Source organism: Homo sapiens, chromosome 1 (genome assembly GCF_000001405.40).
Source record: "Homo sapiens chromosome 1, GRCh38.p14 Primary Assembly".
In the NCBI taxonomy this organism is placed as follows: Eukaryota; Metazoa; Chordata; class Mammalia; order Primates; family Hominidae; genus Homo; species Homo sapiens.
Genome location: NC_000001.11, coordinates 34,197,123 through 34,224,742, shown reverse-complemented (window position 1 = coordinate 34,224,742; position 27,620 = coordinate 34,197,123). Strand labels below are relative to the sequence as shown.

Here is a 27,620-nt window from a genome sequence, read left to right as displayed (position 1 = left end):
GGAGGCTGGGAGAAGGATTTGAAGCCCTGGAGGAGGAGTTTGAAGGCTGAGAGCTGATTTCTCTGCTTCAGGTGACCTCTCCCTTTCTTATGGAGAATCCACCGCTGCTTCCCTGACCTCCTCGGCCCCTGCCTCCTACTTTCTTATGACACTGGCTCATACTGGAAAATGACTCAGAAGTCTTAGTTGTCTGAAAATTTAATAGCCATGAACCATATGGTATAAGTTCCAACAAAGTTCATTCACTGCGGGCTGTGTTATGAGGAACAGGGAAGGACCAGGAAAAGTGGGTAAGAATGTTGGCTCACTGCGTGACCTGAAACAAGATATTCACTGTGAACCTTAGTTTCTGCACCTGTAATAAATATATATCTCACAGGGTTATTATGAGCATTAGATAATAAAGGTGATGTATATAGCACTGTGCCTGTTCCATTGTAAGTGCTTGATGATTAGTAGCTGGTATTATTTTATGAAGTATTTCTAGAACTCCCACAAAATGCTACTCCTCAACTTGCTTAAACTATATAAAGACCACTGTTAGTGTTAAGGTTCACAAATAGGCTGGGCTCGGTGGCTCACACCTGTAATCCCAGCACTTTAGGAGGCCGAGATGGGTGGATCACCTGAGGTCAGGAGTTTGAGACCAGTCTGACCAATATGGGGAAACCCCATCTCTACTGAAAATACAAAAATTAACCAGGTGTGGTGGTGTGTGCTTATAGTCCTAGCTACTTGGCTGAGACAGGAGAATTGCTTGAACACGGGAGGTGGAGGTTGCAGTGAGCTGAGATCGTGCCACTGCACTCCAGCCTGGGGGACACAGCGAGACTCCTTCTAAAATAAAAAAGAGAGAGAGAAATTCACAAATAGAGTGTGTCCAGGAAGAAAACTGGAGGCTTACAACTCGAAAACATGTCACATGGGAATTCACTGCAAGGACCAGGAATGTTAAAAGAGCAGACATCACTTGGCCTGGCACAGTGGCTCACGCCTGTAATCCCAGCACTTGGGAGGCTGAGGCGGGCAGATCACGAGGTCAAGAGATCGAGACCATCCTGGCCACCATGGTGAAAACCTGTCTGTACTAAAATTACAAAAATTAGCTGGGTGTGGTGGCACACGCCTGTAGTCCCAGTTACTCGAAAGGCTGAGGCAGGAGAATCACTTGAACCCGAACCCGGGAGGCAGAGGTTGCAGTGAGCTGAGATTGCGCCACTGCACTCCAGCCTGGCAACAGAGTGAGACTCCATCTCAAAAAAAAAAAGGAGCAGACATCACTTATCTGACCCTCTGAACTGGATTGGGTGATCCTGATATGTGCTCTCATAGCACCCAGTGTGTGCCTTTGGTAACCTCATCACCTTTCACGGTGACTATGATTGAGTATCTGTGCTTAAAAATTCACAGGGCCAGGCACTGTGTCTGTCTTGCCCACTGCTGTATCCCTAAGGATACGTTTTCAGTGACTGTGCGCTGAATGCATCGGGTGGGGGAAGGTGGGTTTGAAGGAACCCAGAGAAAAGCTGAGAAGAGCTGGGAGTTTTCAGTCCCATCCAGACTTCATGACGCTGGATCAGGAAAAGCACTGAGGGTCCCTGTTCCCATTATTCTTCAACTATAACTATTTCTGGAATTCCCTGAGAGGTGAGCAGAGTCAGGGGTGCAATGTGTTGGAAAAGCATTGGCCATTGGCTCCAGGCCCCCGCTTCAACTAAATTTTCTCCATAAGAATTTCTGGAGAAAAAAGTTTCTAAGGACTTCTGAGAATCTGATTCTCAAACATCCTGGGATGAGAGCTGGGGCAGTGGGCTCTATCTGTGTCAGAAGGCAGTTTGAGGCCAGGCGCGGTGGCTCACACCTGTAATCCCAGCACTTTGGGAGTCCAAGGCGGGCAGATCACAAGGTCAGGAGATGGAGACCCTCCCGGCTAACATGGTGAAACCCCGTCTCTACTAAAAATACAAAAAAATTAGCCGGGCGTGGTGGCGTGCGCCTGTAGTCCCAGCTGCTGGGGAGGCTGAGGCAGGAGAATGGCGTGAACTCGGGAGGCGGAGCTTGCAGTGAGCCGAGATTGCGCCACTGCACTCCAGCCAGGGCGACAGAGCGAGGCTCCGTCTCAAAAAAAAAAAAAAAAGAAAAAAAAGAAGGTAGCTTGATACAATTCAACAAGCATTTTTGATACCTACCATGTGCCAAGCATCATATTAGTGTTCTACATGCAACTTCTCTCTCTTTTAAATAAATCTTTATTTTTATTAAAATAATGCATACACATAGTTTAAAAGCCAAACAGTGCTATAAAGACTTACAAACAAGGCAGTGATTCCTGCACCGTCTTCCCCCACAAATCAATCCCCCTAAATCTCTTGGCTGTTTATCTTGGTGTTTATCTCCAGATTTCTAGATAATTATATGAATTCCACTATCTCTGGTATCATCCATTTTAGATATTACCTCCTGCCTTTCTATTATGATAAATGAGGATTTTAGCTCTATTCACACCCTCTCTCCACCTTCATCCTCCCACCGTGGTTATAAGTTATCACCATTTTTTGTTAAATCTATATTTGAACTTTTTATTGTTGTGACCAGGTAAATACTGTTCACTGCTGAGTTAATAACAATTGTTCCTTTTTTAATTTGAATTTATAGTTAAAGCTTCCCACCCCCACCAACTGCTATAAAACACCTCTTAATACAATTTTCCACAGAATCAACTCTGTCAGAATAATCTATCATTTTTTTTCTCCAGCCCTTCCCCAGCCCCCACTGATATGCCTCTCTTCTGGAGCTCACCAACTTCCTACTTACATCTGGACTGGTGGTGGTGGCTCTCAGAGGCTCTGTTTCATGGCTCCTGAGTGAAGGCATTCCTTTTCCGTCACCCCAGGAATCTCCTTAGCCTCCCTCCACATTGAATACCTGATTCCTGGATTCCATGTCTTCTTTCTTTGTTTACCCACTTGTCTTAGTGGAGTACATCTTCCCTTAGCTTCCTGACAGATGTGCAGGGTGGTCAATTTTTTGAGACTTTTCATATCTGAAAACATCTTATTCTACCTTCACAGGGCAGAGTTTGGATTTAGAATTCTTGGTCGAAAATTATTTCCACTCGAAGTTCTGTTGCCTTTGTTTCAGGATGTTCTAGGTGCCAGTGTTACTGTTGAGAACTCTGATGCCATTTTGGTTCTTGAGCATTTGTATGTCAGTTGGTTTTTTGGGAAATTTTAGAATCTTGTCTTTATCCTTGCTCTTCTGAAATTTCATAGGGATAGTCTTCAATGTACATCTTCTTCTTTCACTTTGCTGAGCACTTGTTTGGGCCTTTCAATCTGGGGGATTTTCTTTTATTTTTTTCATTAGTATTTCCATCCCCTTGATTTTCACTCTGTTGCCTAGAATGTCCCTTAGCCAGATATTGGTTCTCCTGGACTGGTCCTCTCATTTGCTTATCTTTTATCTCCTATAACCCACCCTTATGTCTTTATTCTCCTTTCATGAGATCTCTCTGATGTTAACTTCCAGCCCTTTCACTTAAAAAATTACATCAGCTATCATTGTTTTAATTTCCAAAAACACTTTCTTGTTCTGATTTTTAAAAATAAGCATATGGCATATTGTCCTTATTTTTAAAATGTACTACCTTATCTCCCTTAGACTATTATGGTCTGTCTCTCCTTAGTTCCTTCTTATCTTTGATTTATTTCCTTCTTGGTGGAGACTGCTCTAAAAAGTTTATTGGAAGCTCTTTGTAAAAGGACATTAATCATAGGGTAATTTTCACTGGTACCTCCAAACGCCTTGGGGAAATTCAGCTTCCCTAGAGGACCTTCCAAACCTCTGCTTCTTGGTTAAAGCCTAGCTGCTGGCATTGAGGAGTGTATGTGTATTTCACTTGATTCCAATTTTCCATCTGGGGCCTCATCTCCACAGTCCTTATGCATGGTCTGTACCTTTCTCCTGAGAAAATGCCTCCTGTCTCCTACAGAACTGGCCATGGCCTTTGGCTTTGTGGGGCCAGGTTGCTTTCACCTCTTCCTAGCCCCACCTTCCATGGAGTCTAGCACCTGGCACCTCCAATTCCAGGACCATCAGGGCTCTGCAGGAGAAATGGCTAGCTTCTTGTTGATATTTCCTTTGGCAGGCATTTCCATGTGATCTTCCTCTGTTCTGCTAAGGAATTTACCTTTCCTCCATCCCATTTCTGCTTTTGTATATGGGATGGGATTGCCAACTTCTCCGAGTTTTATTGAGGATAGAGTTCATACAGGTTTACTTGTTCTCCTTGTTATTTGGGGGTAAGTTTCAAGAGAAGAGGAAAAGAAACATCTTTACTCCACCATCTTAAAGCCACAAGTCTATGTTAAATAGACAAAGTTTATATTAAGTCTACATTATCTTTTAATCCTCAAAATTCAAAGTTTATATTAAGTCTGCATTATCTTTTAATCCTCACAACTCTTAATATGGCCAATCATGGAAAAGAGGTTCAGAGAAGTTAAGTTCTGTGCCCTAAGTCATAGTTGGAAAGCAGCTAAGAAGCCAAGTCTGGCCAAAGGCAAACCCATAATTTTTCTTTTACTGTCTCCTGTTTCCCAAAATGCTGAGATCAAGGGAGGGTGGCAAATTATAGTCTAGCCTGGATCAATACCTAGAAGTACAATATAAGAAAGACCTTTGGGACAGACTGTTAACCAAGGCTATCAAGAAGAAACAAGAAATGCCCAAAGTAGGGTCCAGCATTGGGGAAGGGAGTTGAAGGACTTCCAGGGAATCCTAGACTTAGGCCATGAAGAATGTAAGAAGGCATAAGTCTTGAGGGAACTTGGGAGAGAAATTGGTTTCCAGGGACCCAGAAAGAAAGACCAGTGAGGCCGATGGGGTTACACTGTGAGAGCATGCCACATGGGTTTCATTTCATAGACCAACTCTGATCAGTGACAGCTGCCTGGGGCACCACAGGAAGAATGACTCTGTGGCTTTCTCCAAACTCATGGGGATAGAATGACAGAGCTGATTAGCGATGTCTGCCAAGGGGGTGCAACAGAAGAGTTAAAGAATGTGTGCTGTCACAAATCCAGGCTGTCTCCTCTTCCCAGACTCATGTCCTCCATCAATGTGATCAAGTTGCTCTCAATGTCCTTATTCGAGTCATTGGTAAGAGTTGAACAAGACAGGTCTAAGGATGCCACCATTAGGTGCAGTTTTGACATTGACCTCTATCTTGGTACTGATGTACAATCATTGGATATAGTCTGCCACATTTAGCATCAATTTTGAAATTGTTTTCCAGGCTACATTTCCCAATCGTTTGTCCAAAAGAGACTTTTTATGGAAAACTTCCACTCGGGATAGGACAGAGTGCATTCCGTTTATGATGTCCCTTCCTGAGATGCATACACTGGGATGTTGAGAGGTGAGTGGATCACAGGGGAAAAGAGATAAGCCCTCTCACTTATGATCCCTGAGGTCCAATATTTAGATAGCAGCACTCTGAGGACTCCAGCCTGTGGTCTCCTTTCATGCCCTGAGTAAACGCTGAGTCTCGTGGGGAAAATGAGAGGTAAAGATTACACAGAACACCACAAAAATAAACAGGCACACTCCATTTCAAGTAGCTCATACTTTTATCATAAAATACAAACTTTCTAAAATTAAGTGTCTTACTTCTATTTTACCAACAAAAACAAAAACAAAAATCACTCATGTTAGCTAAATATAGATGCATAAGTGGTTGAGCAAGCAAGTATGAATATGAGGGTCATGTGTGTGTGTGTGTGTGTAGCTTGTGCCATGTGTGAGGAGGGCTATTTTTGTGTCAGTGTTGGCCAATAGATGAATCTGGTCTTGCTGTTTTGTCTGTGACCTGGTCAGAACCTTGCTTTTCCAAACTTCATACCAAGCTTTTGCAGAATCCAAAAATCAGAGCCCCTAGTCCTGATCCAAGGGCTAAGGGAGGAGAAGGGAGAAGAGGAGATCTAAAAGTTTATGCCATTCCCACTGGAAGAAAAATAGGGGCTGTGCATCAAGGGCCCTCCGGATGTCGAGCCGAACCTGGAAGAGAGGGAGGGTGGATGCCATGATGAGATTCCTAATGTTATCGGAGAGAATTAGAAAAATATATATATTAATTTTATGGTTGTCAGAAACAGTGAAGACCATGACAGGCTTGGAGGGTAAAGGCTTTGGCATAAGAAAGGCTTTGGCCCTGGGAAAGTAAAATATTAAAATAATACAATTAGAGGACAATCAAGCGCTTCTCCTTATGCTTACTTGGATCAGGAAGTCCCTGGGAGCCTGTAAAGATTGTTTCAATGGAGCCTACACTCTCTCCCTGCCCAAGACCCATAGAACAGGGACCCTCTCTGGACCTAAGCATCTTACCTGTATTCCTGTGACCACTCTACCTGCCTTAGAGGACCAGACATGTCCCTCAGGAAAATCTACAACATCAGAGAACTTAGAGGCAAGTCCAGCATAAGGTCTTTGGGGCTGGACAATCCCAGAGTCCCTCCTCCCCTTCCAGCACTAAGCTAAATCAGGCCCTTCACTCCATCCCTGACTCAGAAATAAGCATTGAGACATCACTGAGTGCCTAGGGCTTTGCTAGACCCTCAGGGAAGGAAGGGTTAAGACGTGAGCCTCACCGTCTAAGAGCAGAAATGCACACGCCTCTCCTTTTCTCCCTGGCACACTCCTATCCATACTTCAAAATAGAGTTCAAAAGCCATCTCCTCTGTGAAGACTTCCCTGACCTCTCCAGATGGAATCATTTACTCACACTGCTGGAATCCTACTGTAATTTCTTCACCCATCTGCTCAGATACTTTGAATGAATGGGAACAGAACTCAATACAAATTACAATAGAGCAAATGGCTAGATTTAATCTAATCCTGGGATTCTCAATCACTTTTCAGCTGGGCAGATGCATATTATAGAAGAGATTCACATTCATGGTACCCTTCTATGAATTGATGAAACAAAAAGCGGGAGCAGAGGAGGGAAGAAGCAATGGAAATAGACCACGGCATTCATTTGTAGTGCCTCAGCAGCTAACTCTGTCTCTTGCTCACTGAGTCTCCATGGGCAAGTTGGGCTGGGTTGTCTCACTAGCTTCTCACTAAAATAAGTGCCAAGAGAGCAGAGACTTTACCTATTTCATATCATGTGCCCAGGGCCTGACACAATGTGGGTCCCTCATAAGCAATCCATGCCAGCGGTAACCCCACCTCTGTTTCTCTCTTTCAGAAATCATATTGGGATCATTCAGAAATCATAATGATGTTATTATAGGGATACCCTGCCTTCCACTCTGACTTACAAAATAAAGGCTGTAACCCATACTTCAGTATTTAACAATTATCAGTAATCAACAATGATCATGACACAGCTCATATCTGATTGGCACACATGCAGCTAGGTCCTCCAGGTTGAGAACTTCTGATCAGATCAACGGCCACCGGCATGATCTAGACAGTATGTACGCTAGAGGGCCAGGAAGAGGAGCAATCTGTGTGGACGAGAGTTAACAAGTAATGCTTCCTGGAGGAGGAGGAGCTTGAGTTGCCTGTTGAGTAGGACGAACATATGTCCTGGTTTGCCTGGGCCGGCCTCTATGTTGGTATTTCTGGTATAATTATTTTATAGTTTCATTTATTTGAAACAGAGTCTTACTCTGTCACCCAGGCTGGAGTGCAGTGGCATGATCTTGACTCACCGCAATCTCTGCTTCCCAGGTCCAAGCGATTCCTGTGCCTCATTCTCCCCAGTAGTTGGGACTACATGTGTGCACCATCACACCTGGCTAATTTTTTGTATTTTTGGTAGAGATGGGGTTTCACTGTGTTGGCCAGGCTGGTCTCAAACTCCTGACCTCAGGTGATCCACCTGCCTTGGCCTCCCAAAGTGCTGGGAATACAGTTGTGAGCCACCGTGTCTGGCCTGATATAATTATTATCTGTACTCCTTTTAACTCTCAAATTTATTATTGCTTGGAAGATAAATTGTATGGTTATTCCACCATGATGAATGTGTGCAAATTGACTTGGCAGAGGGGAGGGCTCTACTTCTCCTTCCCTGAGGACATGGAAGCCTCTCACTCCTTCCTCTCCCCTTCACACAGTTTTGTCTCTTGATTCCACCTTTTCTGCTGACCTTCCTTGTCTTCCATGCTGAACTCTCTGCTTAGGCCCATGCATACTCCCCAGCCAGGTGCAGCCTCACCTTGATCTTGTTCCATCAGCACCTCGCGTCACCACCCCAACACCAGCACTTTGTTCAGGAAACACTTTCTTCACTTGGCTTCCTGCACTCCACTTTCCCATTTTTTTCCCCACCTCACTAGATAGTCCTACTTATTCACAGAATCTTTGCTGGTTCCTCCACATCTCCGCAGCCTCTACATGCTGGAAGTCTCAAGGCTCAGCCCTTGGATCTCTTCTCTTCTCTATACTTGTGTATTTTGGGCCATCTCATCCCATCCCATCCCTTGCCTTGAAATATCATGTATATGAGAATGGCTCCCAAACGTATTACCAGCCCCAACCTCTCCCCTGAGTTCCAGACTCCTATATGCACCTACCTATCCATAGCTCCACCCATCTGTCTAATGACTTTCTCAATTTTCACATGTCTAAGACTGACTCTTGGTAAACAGATCCTTGCTGTGGTCATCATGACCTTGGTCATTTTTTGTTTTTTGTTTGTTTGTTTGTTTTATTTTGTTTTGTTTTTGAGATGGAGTTGTGCTCTGTCACCCAGGCTGGAATACAATGGCATGATCTCGGCTCACTGCAACCTCCGCCTCCCTGGTTCAAGCAATTCTCCTGCCTCAGCCTCCCGAGTAGCTGGGATTATAGGCACCCACGATTATGCCCAGCTAATTTGTGTATTTTTAGTAGAGATGGGGTTTTACCATCTTGGCCAGGCTGGTCTCGAACTCCTGACCTCAAGTGATCCACCCACCTCGGTCTCCGAAAGTGCTGGGATTACAGGCGTGAGCCACTGTGCCTGGCCCAATGACCTTAGTGTTTTGGCATTGCTGCTGCTCCAGTTGCACAAGTCAAAAACCAAGGAATTTGTTTGACTTTTCCCTTTCCCTCATCACACATTCAACCATCATCACGTCCCACCAATTCTACCAAGAAAATAACACATCACAGATCTTTTCACCTGCCCCCTTTCCCAGGGTCACTGCCTTTATCCATCCCACCAATGCCTCTTGCTCAACTATAAAGCTCTAGCCTACTCCCCTGCCTCAGCTCTTACCCTCATAGTCCATTCTTCAGACATTGACCAATGTGATCTGTTTTATATAGAAGATTAGAACATGTCCTCATCAATTTAAAAGCCTACATGGTTTTCCACTGCTCCTGAAACAAGACTTCTAGCCATGCCTACCAGGCCCTGTCTAGTCTGGCCCTGGCTACCTCTTATTTTAATTCCATGCACTCCCTCCCTCACTGTTTGTGCTGCAGCCACAGGTTCCCACCTCAGAGCCCTTGCACTTTCTATTATTTCTGCCCAGAGGCTCATCCCCGAAATGTATGTGTGGTTCATTCTCTCATCTCATTTAGATCTTGGCTCAAGAGGCTGCCCTTGATTCTTCTCCCCACCCCAACCCATATCCTGAGGACCTGGCCTTGCATGCTTGCCTGTTTATCTCCTTATTGTCCATTTCTCCTTCTAGAATGAAAGCTCCTTAGGAGAAGGAAAACCTTTTTTTCGTTCACTTCATTATCCCTGGTGTCTACAACAGTGCCAGGCACATACAAGGTGCTGGATCAATATTTTTTGAATGAACAGATCATCCCCTCTGGGTACTCAGGCTTGCATCCCTTACATTATTTTTCCGACCTCATGGTCCTGGTCTCCCCAGCCTCTCAGAACGCCAATCCACCCTGCTCCTTCTCCTCACCCTCCTCTTTGCCTCCACTGTCTCTGGCTTTCCCCAGGCTGTCTCTCACTTCTCAGGCTGCTCCTTCCTCGGGCTGCCTACCCACTCCTCCGACCTCTGCAGACATGTGGAGACCAAGTCTCAACCTTCTGGTCTCACAGCTCCCAGTCGGTGGTTCCCGAAAGCTGACTGAGGAGACATTGAGACCACCCTCCCTCCCAGACACAGCCAGGGCTATCTCCTACAGCAAGTCTATCTTCCCAGAGCCCAGAGTCACAGCACAGAATGTGGGAAGTTGGCCAACCTGCAGGGGGCTTGTCTGGGTCTCTATTCTCACCTCCAGGGGATGATAATCTGTCCCATAGGCCCCTAGAGCCACCTCTAGACCCCACCCTATCCTGCTTCCTCTTTCTCTTACTTCCAGCCCATCAATTCACTCTGATGTGCATAAATCTTCCCTGGATCCCCAGGCCTAGCAGTCCAAAGCCTTTCATAATCTAGTCTCAACCTCCCTTTTCCAATCCTATTTTCCACCTTTTTCAGAGACAAATCTAATTCTTCAGCCAGACTCCTTTATTCCCCAGGCCTCCAGCTTGCCACTTGCTTTCCCATCTGAGGGCCTTGCTCCTCCTGCCTGGAATGCCCTCCTCCCAGTGCTGCTCACTGGAACCTCCCCCGCTGCAGGGATTCTGCCTTTGTCCTCGGGCCACTTTGATGGTTTTCACTTTGCCAGGGCACTAACATTGTTGTGCCCACATTTCATCTGCTCTCAGTTCTCTGAAGGGAAGAAGCATGTCCTATTCATCTATAGGTCCCCTGCAGGCTAAATTCAAATTAACTACATGTGTCAACACAGCGTTTCCCTGGGTGTGTTAGGTAGAACACACCATGATATACTCTACAAGAGAAAGGAAGAGAAAGGGAGGGAGAGAGGAAAAGAGGGAGGGAGGGAGGAAAGAAGGAAGGAAGGAAGGAAGGAATATTTTTTTTAAAAGGATGTGGATGCTGGGCACGGTGGCTCATGGCTGTAATCCCAGCACTTTGGGAGGCTGAGGCAGGCAGATGACCTGAGGTCAGGAGTTTGAGACCAGCCTGGCCAACATGGTGAAACCCCGTCTCTACTAAAAATACAAAAATTAGCTGGGTGTGGTGGTGGACGTCTGTAATCCCAGCTACTCGGAAGGCTGAGGTGAGATAATCGCTTGAACCTGGGAGGCGGAGATTGCAGTGAGCCGAGATCACGCCATTGCACTCCAGCCTGGACAACAAGGGTGAAACTCCATCTCAAAAAAATAATAATAATAAAATAAAAAAAGAAAAGGGTGTGGATTTCATGTTTAAATAATACTATCGACCACCTTCTTGAACATTCTCCGTGCACCCTAGGAAATTAAATGATCTGAGAATTCCAACAGTTAAGAAATCTGTTTATCTCTGTTTCCCACAGCTTTTCCCAAACAGATCTGACTACTGAAACCACTTGCTGCATTTATCCCTTTCAACAAGCTATTTGGAGAAAATACTGATTGAAAGGATGAGAGTTTGGGGACATGGGTCGGCACTGCAGGGAAGGTTCTGTGATGGGGAGGTGGAAGGATGGGAATCACTGTCAGGCTGGGAAGGTTGGCCTTAATCCTATAAAGTGAGTTTCTCAAACCCAGGCACCCATTCCCCAGGGTGTGCCCGGGAGACTGGGATTCCCAGGAATGACAGGGCACCACGTGCCCCTTGGAGCATCCATATTAGTGGAAGATTTGGTGGGTGGGAATGAATGGCTATGTATTATTATATTAAAACAAACACAAATTTATGACTCAACAGCATGCACAATTTGAGTAGAATTTTCAGCCAGAATGTTGAGTTTGTGCTGGCTGTTTGCTGTTAAGCCTTCAGACTGTCCCAGGAAGTAGGAGCTCCTTGCCTCTGCAGTTTGGGGAACTTGGTGGAAAAGTGTGGGCAGCCCTGATAAGCAGTCGAAGGCTCTTCCGCAGGGCCCATCACAAAGTCAATGGGATGTTGGGGAGATTAGCCTTGCAAGGAGATCAGGGTGCGGACAGTGGGAGGTGAGAGCTCTAAGGAGATTAGCTGGCCATGTCCTGTTGTAACCAAGCACATGGGTAAAGGCAAATGCATCGTTGCACCAACTGCCCCTGCCTATGGAGTAGGGGTATCCATATGTTATGGACCGTGCAGTTGCATTTCTGCAACCAGACCTGAAATGCACCTACAAAAGGGGCCCACCAGGCCCCAGACCCTCTTCATCTCTGCACCAGGTCCCTCCAGGACCCACACAACCACCAGCCACAGGTACAGGGCCCATCCCACCCCACAGCCATGGAACACACATACTAAGAAAGCGCTGGTAAGCCCACCCAACTTGCCCCCGTTCCCACCAGCTTTCTGGATACCCTTAGGCTCCCAGTGTGGGCTGACTCACCCATATCCTTGGGGAAAGAGGTACTGCGGTCCATCTCCTGCCATTAGGGGAGGGTCTCGGGGGTTGGCAGACATCTTTGGAGGTGTCCTCTGAGGGTAGGGATAATTGGGCTGGACAAAAGGGATGTAGCTCAGCAGAGGGGTGTAGGAAGAGCGGAAGATCTGCTGTCCCATCTGCTGTGGGTTGTATGGCATCACCTGCACATCACAGAGAAGAGAGGGGTGAGGTCACCATTCCCCAGCCCAACTCTAACCCCAGCCACCCACCCCCAGTCTCAGCCCCTGTGCTCCTCAGTCACTGCTGGGTACACAGAAGGCAACATGTTGGAATGGAGAAAGCCTAGGGCTCAACTTATGTAGTGAGCCTGGCAAGTTACCTAATTTATCTGAGCCTCAGTTTCCCCATCTGCAAAATGGGAAAACACTATCTACGTTGTTAGTGGGGATAGAGTCAGGTGATACAAGTAGAGAGACAGGCATATAGTAAATAGCAAATCAATATTATTTCCATTCTCTTCCCTGTTTGCCTAGCTTTTCCCTCTGTCAATAACCATCTCAAAAGCTCCTTGTTTATTTTTAAGGCTTTCATTATCCCCAAAAAGCTGTTGTGATTTACACAGCTCTGGCTTCTATCTCTCTTGAGAGCCTTTCAACAGATTGCAAGTCCGAGACAGCCCTACCCAGTGGAAAGTCCTGGGATGGCAGCAATGTCCTACATCTGTGCCGTGTGACATGGAAGCCACCGGCCACACACGACAATTGAGCATTTGAAATGTGGCTCATGGGCATGAGGAACTGAGTTTTGAATTATACTTAATTTTAGCTAATTTAAATAGCCACACATAGCTGGTGGCTGCCATAGTAGACAGTGTGAGTCTAGGAGGAAGGGCAAAAAAAGGCAATGGGGTTGAGCACAAACTCTAGGGAAATACAGGAATTCAGTGGTGCTTCCGAGATTGCCCGTGATGAACTCCGACCTAGAACTGGGGCTCCCACCATCTTGCCGCGACAAGTCAGAGACCTCATCCATCTTGTTGACCACTATCTCCCCAGCCCTAAGACAGTGCCTGGGACACAGTCACTGCTTAACAAACATATGTTAAATGAATGAATGCAAGAAAGGGAGAGAGAGGAAAGCAAAGACGGGCAGAAGGAAGGAGGGAGGAAAGAAAAGACCACTAAGGCATCTGCTTGAATACCTAAATGATGGGGGGCTCGTTACCTAATGAGCACTACATTCCACTACTGACAGCTCCAAATATGAGAAAACCTTTTCTCATACGGAGCTGATGTCTATCCTCTTGTGTACTGAGGGGAGTATCAGTTAGAATTTGAAGAAACTTCTGGATTTCCACTTTAATAGCAAGTCTGGGGTCCAAGTGCTCAGGAATCAGGCACTCTGACAGCCCTCTCTCACCCCATACACCCTTATCTAAAAAAAAAAATCCACAAAGGGGGCTGGGTGCGTTGGCTCACGCCTGTAACCGAGCACTTTGGGAGGACGAGGTGGGTGGATCACAAGGTCAGGAGTTTGAGACCAGCCTGGCCAATATGGTGAAACCCTGTCTCTACCAAAAATACAACAATTAGTCAGGCGTGGTGGTACATGCCTGTAGTCCCAGCTACTCGGGAGGCTGAGGCAGGAGAATTGCTTGAACCTAGGAGGTGGAGGTTGCAGTGAGCCAAGATTGTGCCACTGCACTCCAGCCTGGGCAACAGAGCGAGACTCCGTCTAAAAAAAAAAAAACAATCCACAAAGGCTAGCACTCATTGACTGCTTAAAATGTGCCCGGCCCTTCACATGGATGCTGTCGTTAAAACTCCAGAAAGCCCTGTGAGGTAGGGCCATTATTATTTCCAGTTTGGAAGCAGGAAATCTGAGGTTCAGAGAAGTGAAGCAACTTTCTCAGTGTTTCCAGCGTCTGAGTTGTGGTCAGAACCCCAGCAGGGTAAGCCCGGAGCCTATACCTTGGTTCTCACTAGCCTCTCTATGCTGTGTCCTCTTTGGAAACCTGAGTCCTCCCTCCCGGTCTTCCCCAATGTTCTCCAGTGGAGATGTGGGGCCTGGTGATGCTGGGCGCAGGCACCAAATCCCAAGGTGATGAGCTAAAGGTCAGAACATGCCAAGAGCACCTCGCAGGTCAGATGGGAGTCATGACCCTATGGGTCAGCATGGCAGAAAGTACCCCTGTCCTCATGGGGGAGGAAGTGCCTGGACCTGGGAGGGGATTGAAGTGGAGGAGGCAGGTCCTAGAGTTCACACAGTGTTATAAAAAAATGTGCCCCTGATTCCATGTATCTGATGAAACTATAAAGTAGAGCTTTGTAGCCTGCTCTGGAGCCATCTCCAAATATAATCCTCACTGACAAAAGCAATGGAACAGTGTGCCCAGAATGCCGCATTTATTTAAAAATGTTTATATAAATAGATATTGCCGGGAAAATATGTAAAAAACCATTAAACAGTGATTGCCTCCAAGTTTTAAAATTTTTTACCATGTTTTTATATTACTTTTTTCAAATACATACACATGCATGCATGCATACACATACACATAATTATTTAAAAATATTCTCTCTGGAGCCAGGTGGACGATATTCTTGTTCAAGGGGTGGAGGCAATGGGGCTGAGATTCCCTGACCCAGATCATCTCTCATCCCAGATTCATCTCAGGATGCAAGGGTTCCTGCTGCTGAGAAATCAGTGCTGGCCCAGGTAACAAGGCTCCCTACCCCTGCAGGCTCTTCCCTACCCTCCCGAACATTCTAACACATTTCAGGTCAGAGGTGCGGTTTGCACGGAGGGTGGGGCTCCCTGGGGAGACAGGAGAGGCAGAGGTTGTATGAGTTGGAGTGTGGGGGTGTCCACATTTGTGTGGAGGAGCAAGGCCAGCCTGGTGCTATGGCAGGCTGGGTGTTGGTGCCCTCTGCTCCTCCATTCTAAGCTCCTTTCCTCACACCCCCATCCCTGCCCCAAGACTCAATACCCCTCAATGTGCTTCTGTATCTATTTGTGTCCCTGTGCCTGCACACAGGCTCCTGCAGCTTGGTGGCATGTGTACAACTATACCTGTGTTTCTGTCTGCATGTGTGTGTGTGTGTGTGTGTGTGTGTGTGTGTGTTTGCATTTCTCTTTCTGCTGCTTTATTTTCAGGCAGTATTATTGTGCATCTAGGTACAAGATGTAGTAAAGCATGGTCATTGGAGTACCAGCCTGCCAAAGGTCAAACCTCAATTATTGTCCCACAGATATTTATCCTGACCTACCCATGAAAGTAGTGTTGCCAGATTTAGCAAATAAAAATACAGGACACCCAGTTACGTTCAAATTTCAGATAACTAATACATATTTTTAGCATAAGTATATCCTGTGCAATATTTGGGACATACTTACACTACACATTTTTTCCTTGTTTATCTGAAATTCAAATTTAACTGGGTGTCCTGGATTTTAACTGGCAACCCTGCGTGGGAAGAATATGACTCCTCAGTCTCACTGATGCTGAGCAAAGCCATGTCGTTTGCGTTGGCCAGTGGAAGGTGGGTGGAAGTTCCCACGGACAGGTCTGAGTTGAGGATTTCAGAGGCATCACGTGTTTCTGCTTGCCCTGTTGGGCTCTTGCCATCCACCGTGGAAAGAGCAAGAGGTACTGAATCTTCAGCAGAGGCCCAGGAGAGGCACATGGAACCCACCTAAACCTGATCCACAGCCCAGCTCAGCCAGCCCATAGACCCGAGCAAGAAATTAATATTCATTGTTGAAAGTCCCCGAGATGTGGCGGTTATGTATTGCCACAGCAACACCTAATTTGTATGTTCCCAAGTAACTTTATTACTTTGGGCAAGTTACTTACTTAATCTCTCTGTGCTTGGGTTTCCTCATCTATAACCTACCTCACAGGGTAATTTTGAAGGCTAAATTAGTTAGTGCAGACACAGTCCTTACGGACAGGCCCAGCACACAGGAAGGGCTCCATTAAGTGCCCAGTGTTGTCACATACGGACATCGGTTTGTGTTTTCCACACGCATGCCGGTATGTGAGTCTGTACTCCAGAGCCAATGGTGGGCCAGGTGTCTGGTCACCAGCTGGAAAAGGAGGAGGGAGCAGATGCACCCTCTGACCCAAAGGCCTTCATGGACCCAGGACAGAGGAGGAGAGATCGTCTACTCACCTGTTGGGAGTAACATCCCAGCTGCGGGTGCAAAGCCTGCTGATAGGGCATCCTCGCTGCCTGCTGTGGGTACAGGCCCTGGGGAGAAACAGAGGCTCAGTATGGCCAGGCAAGGGGTTTCCTGCCAGAAGGCATCAGCTACTCAGCTCAGTTCCCAGACAGGACTGAGTTTGTCCCATCACATTGCTGACCAGACCCATGGGCTGTCTGAGGCCAGCTGGAACCAGGCCAGGAGAAGCAGGACTCACATCACACAGGAAGCCCCTCTTAGGCAGCCTTCACAGCCTTTCTGATGAGTGTGGGAGACAGGAGCTTCAGGAGCCTGACTGCCTCCCGAGTCCCAGATCTGTGTTTTAGTGGCTGTGTGACCTTGGGCAAATCACATCTCTGAGCCTCTTTTTCCTTCTCTAAAAAATTGCATGTGCTCAGGCCTGCAAAGCCTATGAAGGTAGCCACATTATCTTTGTTGCTGTCCACACAACTTTTCTAAATGCCTTCCCCTAATCCCATACCTGCCCCCTGAAGACACAAGGTGTCTATGCACGTCTCTACGTGTGTGTGTTGGTTTGCATCCATGTTAAATACACCTGCATGTGTGTTTACATTTGTGTCTATGCAGCTGTGTATTTCTGTGTACAAATATACAACTGTGAACCCAGGTGTGTTAGTGTTGCTGTGTATCTATGTGCCCATCCATATACCTGTGTCTGTAGCTTACGGAGAGGGGCACTGTGAGGGTGAAAGTGTTAATACATCTAAAGAGCTTAGAACAGTGCCCTGCACATAGTAAGGACTCAATGTTCAGTGTGTTTGTCATCCATCACTGCCTCCTCCCTTAAACAGCTTTCTGGCAGTTCAGCCAGATGGGAAATTGACATTTTACTCACAATTCTGTCTTGAGGTGCTCATGTGTCCACACACAGACGTAAGACACACACACACACACACACACACACACACACACACACACACCCCGCAGAACTGCTGCTGTGGCAGTGGTCAGTTCTAGTCTCAGACTCTGCCTCCACCTGTCAATCCCGAGTTTTCCCTTAAGATGAGGCTCAAAACCCAAAGTACCCCTCAGCCCAGGACATCTTCTCAGAAGATCTGCTGCCCGAGAGGCTGCCTCCATTCTCAGCTCAGCTTGTGCCAATGACCAAAGTGTTGATGATGGCTGACCCTACACCCTTGAGGGTTCCCTCATGGCCTGTGGACTTTCTGATATGGAGTCTGCAAGTAGGTCTCCCTGCTCTCCTCCTGCTCCATCTTCCAGGTCCCCAAGAGTGTACCTCTTCTCAGAGCCCCTCCTTGCTCTCTGCTCCCATGCAGGGGACACTCCTGACATTCCCATGCTCAGGCCCCTCCCACTTTTGTCCACTCCTTCACCTGAAACCACTCACCTGCTCCCCTTTACTCCAAGCTCTACAGCCCAGGGCAGCCTCTCTCTCCTGTTATGACCACTGCCCGGTCCCTGCAACCCCAGCCTCTGCCTGAACCTGGACAGAGCAGTGAGACTGATGGTGTTGCCTTACCTGTTCTCAGCCCTCCATGAGCTCCAAGGCCACTAGGCATGTTGCTAAGTGTCCCTCCTCTGTTTCGCCGCCTCCTCTGATCCCTGTTAGCACTCATCTCTGCTTTCTACAGGCAGTCGTGCGCCTGCCTGTTTCTGTTTCTATGTGTGTGCATCAAACATGCATGGATATCGTTTGTGTGCAATTGTGTGTGTGCACGGCATCATACACAAAGATCTCTGCTGGGAGCATTCCATGTCACCATTTTTGAGACTCATCGTACCCTCTTAGAGGGTGACCAGAGCTATGCCTCCAGACCGCAGAGCCTAAGTTGCAGCAGCTGAGCTTCCCTATGGGAATCTTTCATCTTCCCTCTGCCTCTTTTTCATCATCTTCTCCCTCAGGTACAGCACTGAGCAGTCTCCAGAATGCCCAGCATGGGCCATGCCATCCACCCCTCACAGGAGCCCATACAGTAGGGACAGCAGAGGGCTTAAGCTGGTGGCCCTGGTCCTCCTGGGAGCACCAGGGAGGAAGGTGCCCCTTGCTTTCTACAGCCAACTTCCCCAGCCTCCACCATCCCACACCTGCTTGTGCCAGGCTGCCCTAGGCTCTGTGGATGGCAAACAGCTGCCCACCGCTGCTCAGTCCCAGGGCGGATTCTCAGGAGATGGTGCCACACTCATGAGTTAGAAAACACTGCATGACTTCAACAACATTTCTAGTTGTTAGAATTGCAAGTTTGTAACATCACAGGCAAGGGTAAATAAACATTCACTGTTCTTTGCTTAAGCCATGGTCCCTTCCCACGCACCCTCCCTCCTTCATTGGGAGCAGAGTTCCTTTATGCCAAGTAGCCCAGGAGCCTCTGAAGCTCCTCGGTGTTGGGGACTTTGTCTTTCACATCTCTGAGTCCTCCTACCACAGAGCTCTGAGTAAATTGGATTTGGGACCTTATCTTTATTCCCAGTGCTAAACAGGGAAAAGACCAGGCTAGACTGTTCCCCATTTCTCCTCTCTGTCCCCTCAAGGTCTGTGGAGCTCTCTGACCCCATTTCCTTGGAAGATTGAGGCTGAATAATAATAAAAACCAACATCTGTGTCACAGCTTAAATTTTACAGAGTCTTTACCCTTCCATGGACTCAATTAATCCTTACAACCATATCAGTAGCTACTGCTGCTGCTGCTGCAATTATTATGAACCCATTTCACAAATGAGGAACCATGGCTCTGAGCAGCTAACCAGCCTAAGGCCTAACTTGGAAGCAGCAGAACCTTTAAAGTCAAGTCTACTGGTTTCAAAACCTGCCTGCTATTATCTCAGGCCCCTTGATCAGCTATGTTGAAGCTGGACAGCATTGTGAGATCACAGAAGCTGGGAGAAGGTAAATTATGCTGTCCTTCCTTATTACCTGGGAGGACCAATGCCTTCCACAGCCAACTTCAGCTGGGCCCATTCAGTGCTTAAACTGTCTCAAAGAACCCAGCAGGCCTTACCAGCCAGGGTCCTTCTGCTGCTTCTGCTCAGAAGCCCAGGAACCTCATAGTCAGCCCTATGATGCTAAAGACAGAGGACCGTCATGCTCAGAAAATGATATGTCCAAATCTCACCCACTCCAAAAAGTCAGAAGAAATTAACATAGCAAAGAGATGCTATCCCCACTTAATAAAGCAAACCATTGCAAATTAGTTTTACACGGTGAGCTCTGTGAGGGCATTTTAGAGTGAATCGACTTGTACTAAATGAATTATGCAGTTGTTTCCCCTTTAGAGGTGGAGATGCATAGAGCTGATCTCTGGTTTATTCCTGAACTTGCATTAGACTCCAAGCTTTTCTTAGTCATCATTTTTTTTTTTTAGAGACAGGGTTTCACTATATTGTTCAGGCTAGTCTTGAACACCTGAGCTCAAGCAATTCTCCTATCTCAGCCTCTGGTGTAGGCTGGGACTCCAGGCACATGCCACCACACCTGACTTTAGTCATCTTTGAATCCCTCCACCTAGAACAATGCTCAGCCTCTAGTAGGCTTGTAGGGAGAAATGGTTTTCAAAATTACTTAAATTAATGAGTAAATAAATACATAGAAATGAGTAAATCGTGAGTAGGTGAGTAAATGAATAGTGAATAGGCACACAAAAATGAAAGGGTAGAATCATATTGGTAAAGGAGTCAGCGAATCAATGAACAGGACATTTCAAGACCTGTGTAAGGACAATAGACTACTGATATGAACAGGTCCATGACAATAGACTACTAATATGAAACTGGTCCACTTCAGCTTCCTTCTTAGGTCACCTTTCATCACAACCTCTCACCTCCACAATGGGGTGTGAGCTTTCCCTCCCTCGGGAGGGGACGGGTACTTGTTCTCTTTAGCAAACACACACACAAACAAAAAGCTTGAAAACAAAACAGAGAGAGACTTTGCTAAGTTCCTTTAAGATTCAGAAACTAAGCCTGGTGGACCAGCTTGAAGAGTCTTTATATGCAGAAGAGCCAATCCCCTTTCCCAATAGGACATAAGGTTTGTGCTGTGTTGAAAGGGAAAGAATGACATAGGGTTCCTAGGAGTGGAGAGCGGGGAAGGGACATAGCAACAGGACAAGCCGAGTTGGAAGTATTTCCTTCTTTGCTTTCTCACTTCAGGCTGTGCTGGGCCAGGCTGGGGCAGCAAATTGCCAAGGTCCTGAGTGCACAAATTTGAGTTCCTGCCCTTCCCCATACAATGACATACAATTCTGGAGAGAAGCCAGTGCGAGGAACAGAAGACAGAAATCTTAGGCATGGAGAATCTTTCCTGAAAAAATTGAGTTCTACCTAAAGGGACTATTTAAGTTATTGGATTGGGCTAAGGCTTAAACCAGAGTGGACATTTATTTAATTTTTCCCTCCTTCTACCCAGTGGGCGGCAGCTCTTAAGGGATATTAAGTTAAATCGACAAAATAAAGAAACTACATTTTCCCTGCATAAATAAGTTCTGTGAGTAGAATTTCCAGCCCTGCTACAGGTGCTTCACTGTCCCTTTGTGTCTGGCCATTGATTTTCTCCTTTAGCTATGATCCCAAGAACAAGAATGTGTGCCAAGCCACCTTGGTTGGTACAAAGCTAAGACTGCTTGGTGTAGTTTAAGTAAGGTGGCCATATACACTCATTCCACGGTATCCTCAGAGGATTGGTTCCAAGACCACCCTCCCTCCCCTGCCCTGTGGATACCAAAATCTGAGGATGCTCAAGTCCCTGATATAAAATGACATACAAAGATGCTCAAGTCTCTGATATAAAATGGCATTTGAGGGCCGGGTGCGGTGGCTCACCCCTGTACTCCCAGCTCTTTGGGAGGTGGAAGCAGGTGGATCACATGAGGCGGGGAGTTCAAGACCAGCCTGGCCAACATGGTGAAACCCAGTCTCTACTAAAAATACAAAAATTAGCGCACATACCAGTAATCCCAGCTACTTGGGAGGCTGAGGTAGGAGAATCGCTTCAACCTGGGATGCAGAGGTTGCAGTGAGCCAAGGTCATGCCACTGCACTCCAGCCTGGGCGATAGAGTGAGACTCTGTCTCAAATAAAATAAAATGGCATATGAGGATGATCTAGTCCCTGATATACAATGACATATAAAGATGTTCAAGTGCCTGATATAAAATGGCATATGAGGATGCTCAAGTCCCTAATATAAAATGGCATAGTATTTGCATGTAGCTTATGCGCATGCTCCTGTATCCTTTAATCTCTAGATTACTAACAACGCCTAATAATGTACTATGTAAATAGTTATTATACTGTATTATCTTTTACTCGCATTATTTTTTGTTGTTGTATTTTGTTGTTGTTGTTGTTGTTTTCTTCTTCAAGTAGTTTCCATCCAAGATTGGTTGAATCTGTGGATTTGGAACCCATGGATACAGAGGGCTGACTGTAATTTGTTGTCCAAACCAGGACACTTGAGAGTGAAAAGGGATGCCATTCATATTATTCTGGAACAGAAGACCTAAATTGGGACTGTCCCAAATAATCTGGGATATATGTCATCCAACTTCAAAGGAAGTCACAGGAGAGAGGTGGGAAACAAGGACTGTGACATCATCTTCTCCTGGGAGCCCAAGCACTTAACCAGCCACAACTAGCAAAGAGACTCTGCAATAAAGAGCACAGTGTGAACTGGAATTCGGACAATGGAAAGTTAGGACTAAATATACATATGTGTGTGTGTGTGGAGGTGTGCGCACGCATGCACATGAACCAAGGGGTAGATCTGATGTGACTACAATGAAAAAAATAACCAACAAGCTGACAAGTTGACAGCGCCCTTCCATAGCCCCAGCGAAGCCTCTTGCATGTAGGGAAGGGATTCAGAGGAGTCTAAAGACTCTGTGAAATAGACCCCCTGCCAGCCACTCCTTCTCTGTGGCCAAAACCCCCGTGGATGTCCACAGGAGAGCCAGGCCAGCTCACTGACCTGATACTGCAAGAAGGTAGAGTGATTCGTGAACACTGGTGGAGGTGGATAGTTCAGGTTGAGCCAGAGTGGCTGGTTCAGGGTTGCTGAGGTCATGGCTGTAGGAAAGTGTGGAGTGAAAACATTCCCTGTGTACTTCGGGTTGTTCTTGTCAGCAACCGTCACAGGTGCGTTAACTGCAAGTCACAGGAGAGGCAAAGCGGGTCAGTGATGGAGGCAGGGAGAGGCCAGGACACCTTCAGCATCGCAACTTCCTTAGGGATTCACAGTCTCACAGGTCAGGTCCTTTAAGCTCCAAGAGGGTTCTTCAAAGTTCTAGTACATTTCCAACTATAGGTAAACATCATTAGTTCACACCTTGCCAGTTTGGAAGGGATGAAAATCCCAGAAGGTCTGGCTTGGAGCTTTTCTTTCCATCATTCACTAGTAAAGAAGGCAATTTAGCAAGGGAATACAATAAGCCAGATTGCTAGGCCTATATTTCACCTACTTACAAAATGAAATTCTTTCAACTGCTTTGGAAAAATCCAACTTTATGTGAACCATTGCTATGCCATTGGAATTCATCCTTATCAAATGATTAAAGCAGCCCCTCCCTAAGGACATATATTTGGCAACACTAAGAAACTTTCACAGGTTGTTGTATCTATATGGGAATTTTAAAAATTATATTTTAAAACATTAAATAATTCAGCATGCAGTGACTCAAAATTGGTCTAAACAAATGAAGTTAGGTTGAGTTGTTTCAAGATCAGAATCCTGGATTCTTCCTTTCTACAAGATGTTGTGGGGGCTTATAAAATCAGAAATGGGTCCTCAGTTTCCCCTTATTGGCATCCTTTTGGGAAAAGAGGTTTGACTAGAACCCTTGTAGGAAAAGAAAGCGGGAACATAATCTCAATATAGAAATAATCTAAAGCAAGGATCTTTTGTTTTGGCTTGGGCAATTTGAGAGGATATAATACATGCTGGGTCAGGGCTATATTCAGAAGTGACCATTAATAATGCTGACGTGACCCTTGAAAGCCAACTACACTTCTCTAGCAACTGTATTCCCAACAAGGGATATGGGGAGAAAGTCATTGCCCCCATTTTATGGGTTTAAAAACTGACACCTCTAGAAAGGCAGTAGATAAGACAGCCACTTGGTGACAGAGCCACCCTGAAGCCTGTGAGGGTCACTGCAACCCCCTCCCCTCCAATCCCTCCCTGGGTAGGTCAGCTCACATTTCAGCTCCGGCCCATCCACTTCCACTTTGTTTCGAAGTCTCGGCTGCCCGCTTGGGTTCTTGGTGGCCCCAAGGAACTCATAGAGCAAGTTCTTCTCGGCTGGACATGTAGGTTTCTTGGGCGGCAGGGTCAGTGATGCGGTGCCCACTGCGTCACAGCAACCCTCCTCACCACAGGCGTCCTTCTGGCTCTGGGGCCACTGGCTGAGAAAGAGGCTCCCTTGACCCTTTTTTGGCTCCTTGGTGCCAGGGCTCCATTCTGTAGCAGGAAAGAAACTGAGTCAATGCCTCTGGAAGGCCAAGTGCTGGATGCTGGAAGCACCTTTTTGTGGACTAAATGATGAATCCTCTGCAGCACACACCTGAGGCTTGGACCACTTTGGGGGACTCTCTTTCAGCCAAATACAATCCCAATCTCTCCCTGAAACCCTCCCTGGCCCCTGCCCCCCGATCTCATGCATCCATCAATCCATCCATCTGTTCATTCATCCACCCATCTGTCCATCATCTTTGCCTTTCTTCCTTCTATCCGTCTACTTATCCATCCATCCATCTGTCCATCCATTTGTCTGACTATCCATCTTTATCTTCCTGCCTTCCTTCCATCCATCCACCCCTTCATCCTTCCTTCCATCATTCCTTTATTCGAATTACCTTTCTTTTCTTTCCTCTCCTTCCTTACTTTTCCTCATTCCTTCCACTATTCCTTCTCTCCAACCATCCATAGTGCCAGGCTGCGAAAACAAGGATGTTGTGGACACAGTTCCTGCCTTCAGTGAGCACATGGCTTAGTGAAGGAGTCACACATTCTTACAGAACATGTGGTCTGAGCCACACACTTTGGTCTCTCATTCTGGATTCTACTTTTGTTTTATTACTCACAGGTGATTCAGCTCACTTGTCAGTGCCAGGCCTTGACCTGAGTGCTGGGGACACAGTTGTGAGTCAGAGCTAGACTGTGCCCTGCAGGAGCTCATAACAAGAAAAAAAGAGAGACATGCCCAGAAATAGCCCCAGGATAAGGTAGATGAACACCATGAGGTGGCAGAGGGAAGAAATGGAGAACAGGGTGGCTGAGGCTGCTTCTGTCTGAGAAGGTTCCTTCCAGAAGGAAGTAGGGTTGCAGCGAGGCCTTACATCCAGGGGTATTGGGGAGGAAGGCATGGCAGGCAGGGATAACTGTGGGCAAAGGCCTGGAAGCATCAAGGAGACATTGTGAGTCACTGGATATGGCTAGAGTGTGGAGCAGGGACAAGATTGGTGGCAGACACAGGTTTCTCACTAAAGAGACTGAGCATTTATTCTCCCAATGCAGACATACTTTGGGGACCATCACAGGATCCTCCACAGCAGTGGTGGGAAACCTGGCCACCCACCAGATGGCTGTGCACTGTGCTGCCCAATAGCAGGCACCGGGATCTGTCTGGATGCAGCCAGAAAGGACCTGTGCCTCAGTGTTACCTGTTGATAATAATAGACCAGATCCCACCAGCTTTTGGCCCCCTAGCCCAGCGGCTTGGGGGCTGAGCTTCGGGGCTAAGGCTGTCTTCCTAGCACTATTCCAGCAAAGGAAAGAGCTGCTCTAGCCTGAGCCAATTTAGAAGGAAACAACATTTTTAGCAAAACATCCCTAGAGTCTTTTCCAGGAGTTCCTCCGGTTGCCGAATTCAGCCCCTAGCCTGTGAGCTGAAATAACAGTACCCACTGATAATAGCCCTTTCCCCAGAGACACACACACCTGCAGCTTCCCACTCATATTTACAGATGCCTTAAACATCTACGAAGCTCCCTCGTCCCAGGTCTGGGCACACAGACATAGACACACTCCTATCTGTTGTTCCTTTGACTTAGTTACACATACACAAGTACATACATGACAGACATATGCACAAATGTGTACACAGACATGCTTAGACACACCACTCTTGCATTTTCTCTAACAAATACACTAAAACCTTCAAAACTCCTTTTGGCACACTTTTGCTCACACATTCGTACACACAGACATGCACCAATGGTGGGTGGGGTGGGTGGGACCAGAACTGCCTCCAGTCCAGCAGCCCCATCCAACAGGGAAATATCTATGGGTCCCTTCTGGAGAAGAGGTAGGAGGAAGGTCTCCTCTCTGGGAAGAGCTCAACCGTCTCTCTCCTACAGCTCCCCATCCTAAAGCCCTCTGGCTCCTAGAAGCCTGTCCAGGACCCAGAGTTCAGCTTGCTATCCACAGCTCTGATTCCTTGGCCTTCCTGCAATGCTCCAGGACACAGAATGTTCAGGATGACTTTGCTCTTATTTTCTCAGGTAGATTAATTTGGACCCTCCCAATACGGGTGTCTCTCAGTTATCCATCCATGCTCATAGCCCAGAGGAAATTGTTCTTTTGGCTAACATGAGTATGATCACTCTCTTAGTGACTGCTGACTCTAGGCAATGGCCATGGCCATCAGCCTACCTTCTTGGAACCATATAGTCTGACTGGTTAGATCAGAACAACACACAGAATCCTGGGCATAAAGTAGGAGAAGCTTGGGAGGTGGCTGGCTTTCCTGGGAAGAATGTGAGCTCCTCAATAAAGTAAGTCCCAGGAAACAGATCCCAGAGTCAACAGTCTGCACTATGCCTGGATAATTTACGCATCTACCCAATACCCCAGAGAGGGAGGACCAGGCCTCATGTCCTCAAGGTACCTCCATGAGATAGATGCCAAATGACCCCAGCTACCAATCAAATTTCTCTTCTATACATCTTGGCATCTCCATGCTGTAGTTTCACCCTGAACCCAGCTAGGGTAAACACTTCCTTCAATGTACTCTGGACACCCGTTTGATTCCAAAGTTAAGCCAATTACTACATGGCGCCTATTTCTCTTCTCAAAGTATGTTGAGATCAGGGCCTCTGGGTTTGCTTACAAAAGCTGTGCCCTGCACAGGGGAACCCAGCAAAATAAGCCTGTGGGGGCTGGAAACAGCCCGTCCCTCGGGGCTGTGCCCACCAGAGAGGCTGCTTTGTCTTGCTTTGCATGAAGATGCTTTATGTACATGCTGCAGCCCTGATTGGCTTCCTGGGAAGGACCTCCTCCTTGCAGGCCCACTCTACCCCAGTTCCAACCCCACTCACCCATCAAGTGGTGCCTCTCCACAGCAGGGTCAGCCTTGGGCTTGGAACAGATCTTGGCAAACACTGGGAGCTGCCTCTTCTGAGCAGGGAGCTCAGGGAGCTTGTCAGGACGTGCAGGAGGAGGTCGGGGAGGCAGCAGCAGAAATGGGCTCAGCCCTGTGGGCTCCTTGGGTCCAGGGCCACTGAACAGGTTGTCCTGTAGGAAGTCCTTGGTGACCCTTGTCTTGTCCAGCACATTCTTGTTGTCAGGGACCTTGGATGTCTCAGTGGACTTCAGTGGGAACTGGGACAGAAGCTTGCTGACTTGCAAGTTGGAGTCACCTAGGATGCGGCCCCTGTCCTCTGTCCCCTTGCTGCTCTTGACCTCGGCGGCACACAGAATGTCTGTGACAGTAGAAGTGGCAGAATCACAGTCCTGCCTGCTGCTGATAACGGGCATGGCCACCTTCTGCTTCAGAAGCTTGTCTCCGACAATGATGGAGGCTCTGGGGCGCTCATTACTGCCTGCCACTAGAGGAGGGGCAAGAATGCAGGGAGCCAGCTCTCTGGTCCCCTCGGGAGAGCTGCCGGGTACCTCCAGCTCCCCAGAACTCTCTTCGACCAGGATCGAGTGCTCTTTGGTGAGGCTTAGGAACTCCTGTTCCACCAACAAGGAGATCTCATCTTTGCCACTGCTGAGCTCCAGAGCTCTGGAAATGGGTCAGAGAGACAGACGGTGTTAGTGCCAGCTCACCAAGGCGTGGCTTTGCAGAAGGACATAGGCCCCAGAAAAGGGAGATGGATGCATAACA

General features: G+C 47.1%; 1 protein-coding gene across 2 annotated transcripts in view; it reads right to left on the bottom strand.

Moving 5' to 3' along the window:
- Positions 1-5,611: 5,611 nt before the first annotated feature.
- The window catches only part of C1orf94 (chromosome 1 open reading frame 94), a 52,139-nt gene continuing 30,130 nt past the window's right edge, over positions 5,612-27,620 (bottom strand). For both annotated transcript variants that reach the window (NM_032884.5, NM_001134734.2), the window contains exons 2-7: positions 26,830-27,518; positions 23,711-23,971; positions 22,484-22,659; positions 16,509-16,586; positions 12,337-12,533; positions 5,612-6,057 (exon numbers count right to left, since the gene is read on the bottom strand). In NM_032884.5, the coding sequence (NP_116273.2) occupies positions 5,982-6,057; positions 12,337-12,533; positions 16,509-16,586; positions 22,484-22,659; positions 23,711-23,971; positions 26,830-27,268 (1,227 nt within the window). In that variant the 5' untranslated portion in view covers positions 27,269-27,518 and the 3' untranslated portion in view covers positions 5,612-5,981. The remainder of the gene's footprint in view (positions 6,058-12,336; positions 12,534-16,508; positions 16,587-22,483; positions 22,660-23,710; positions 23,972-26,829; positions 27,519-27,620) is intronic.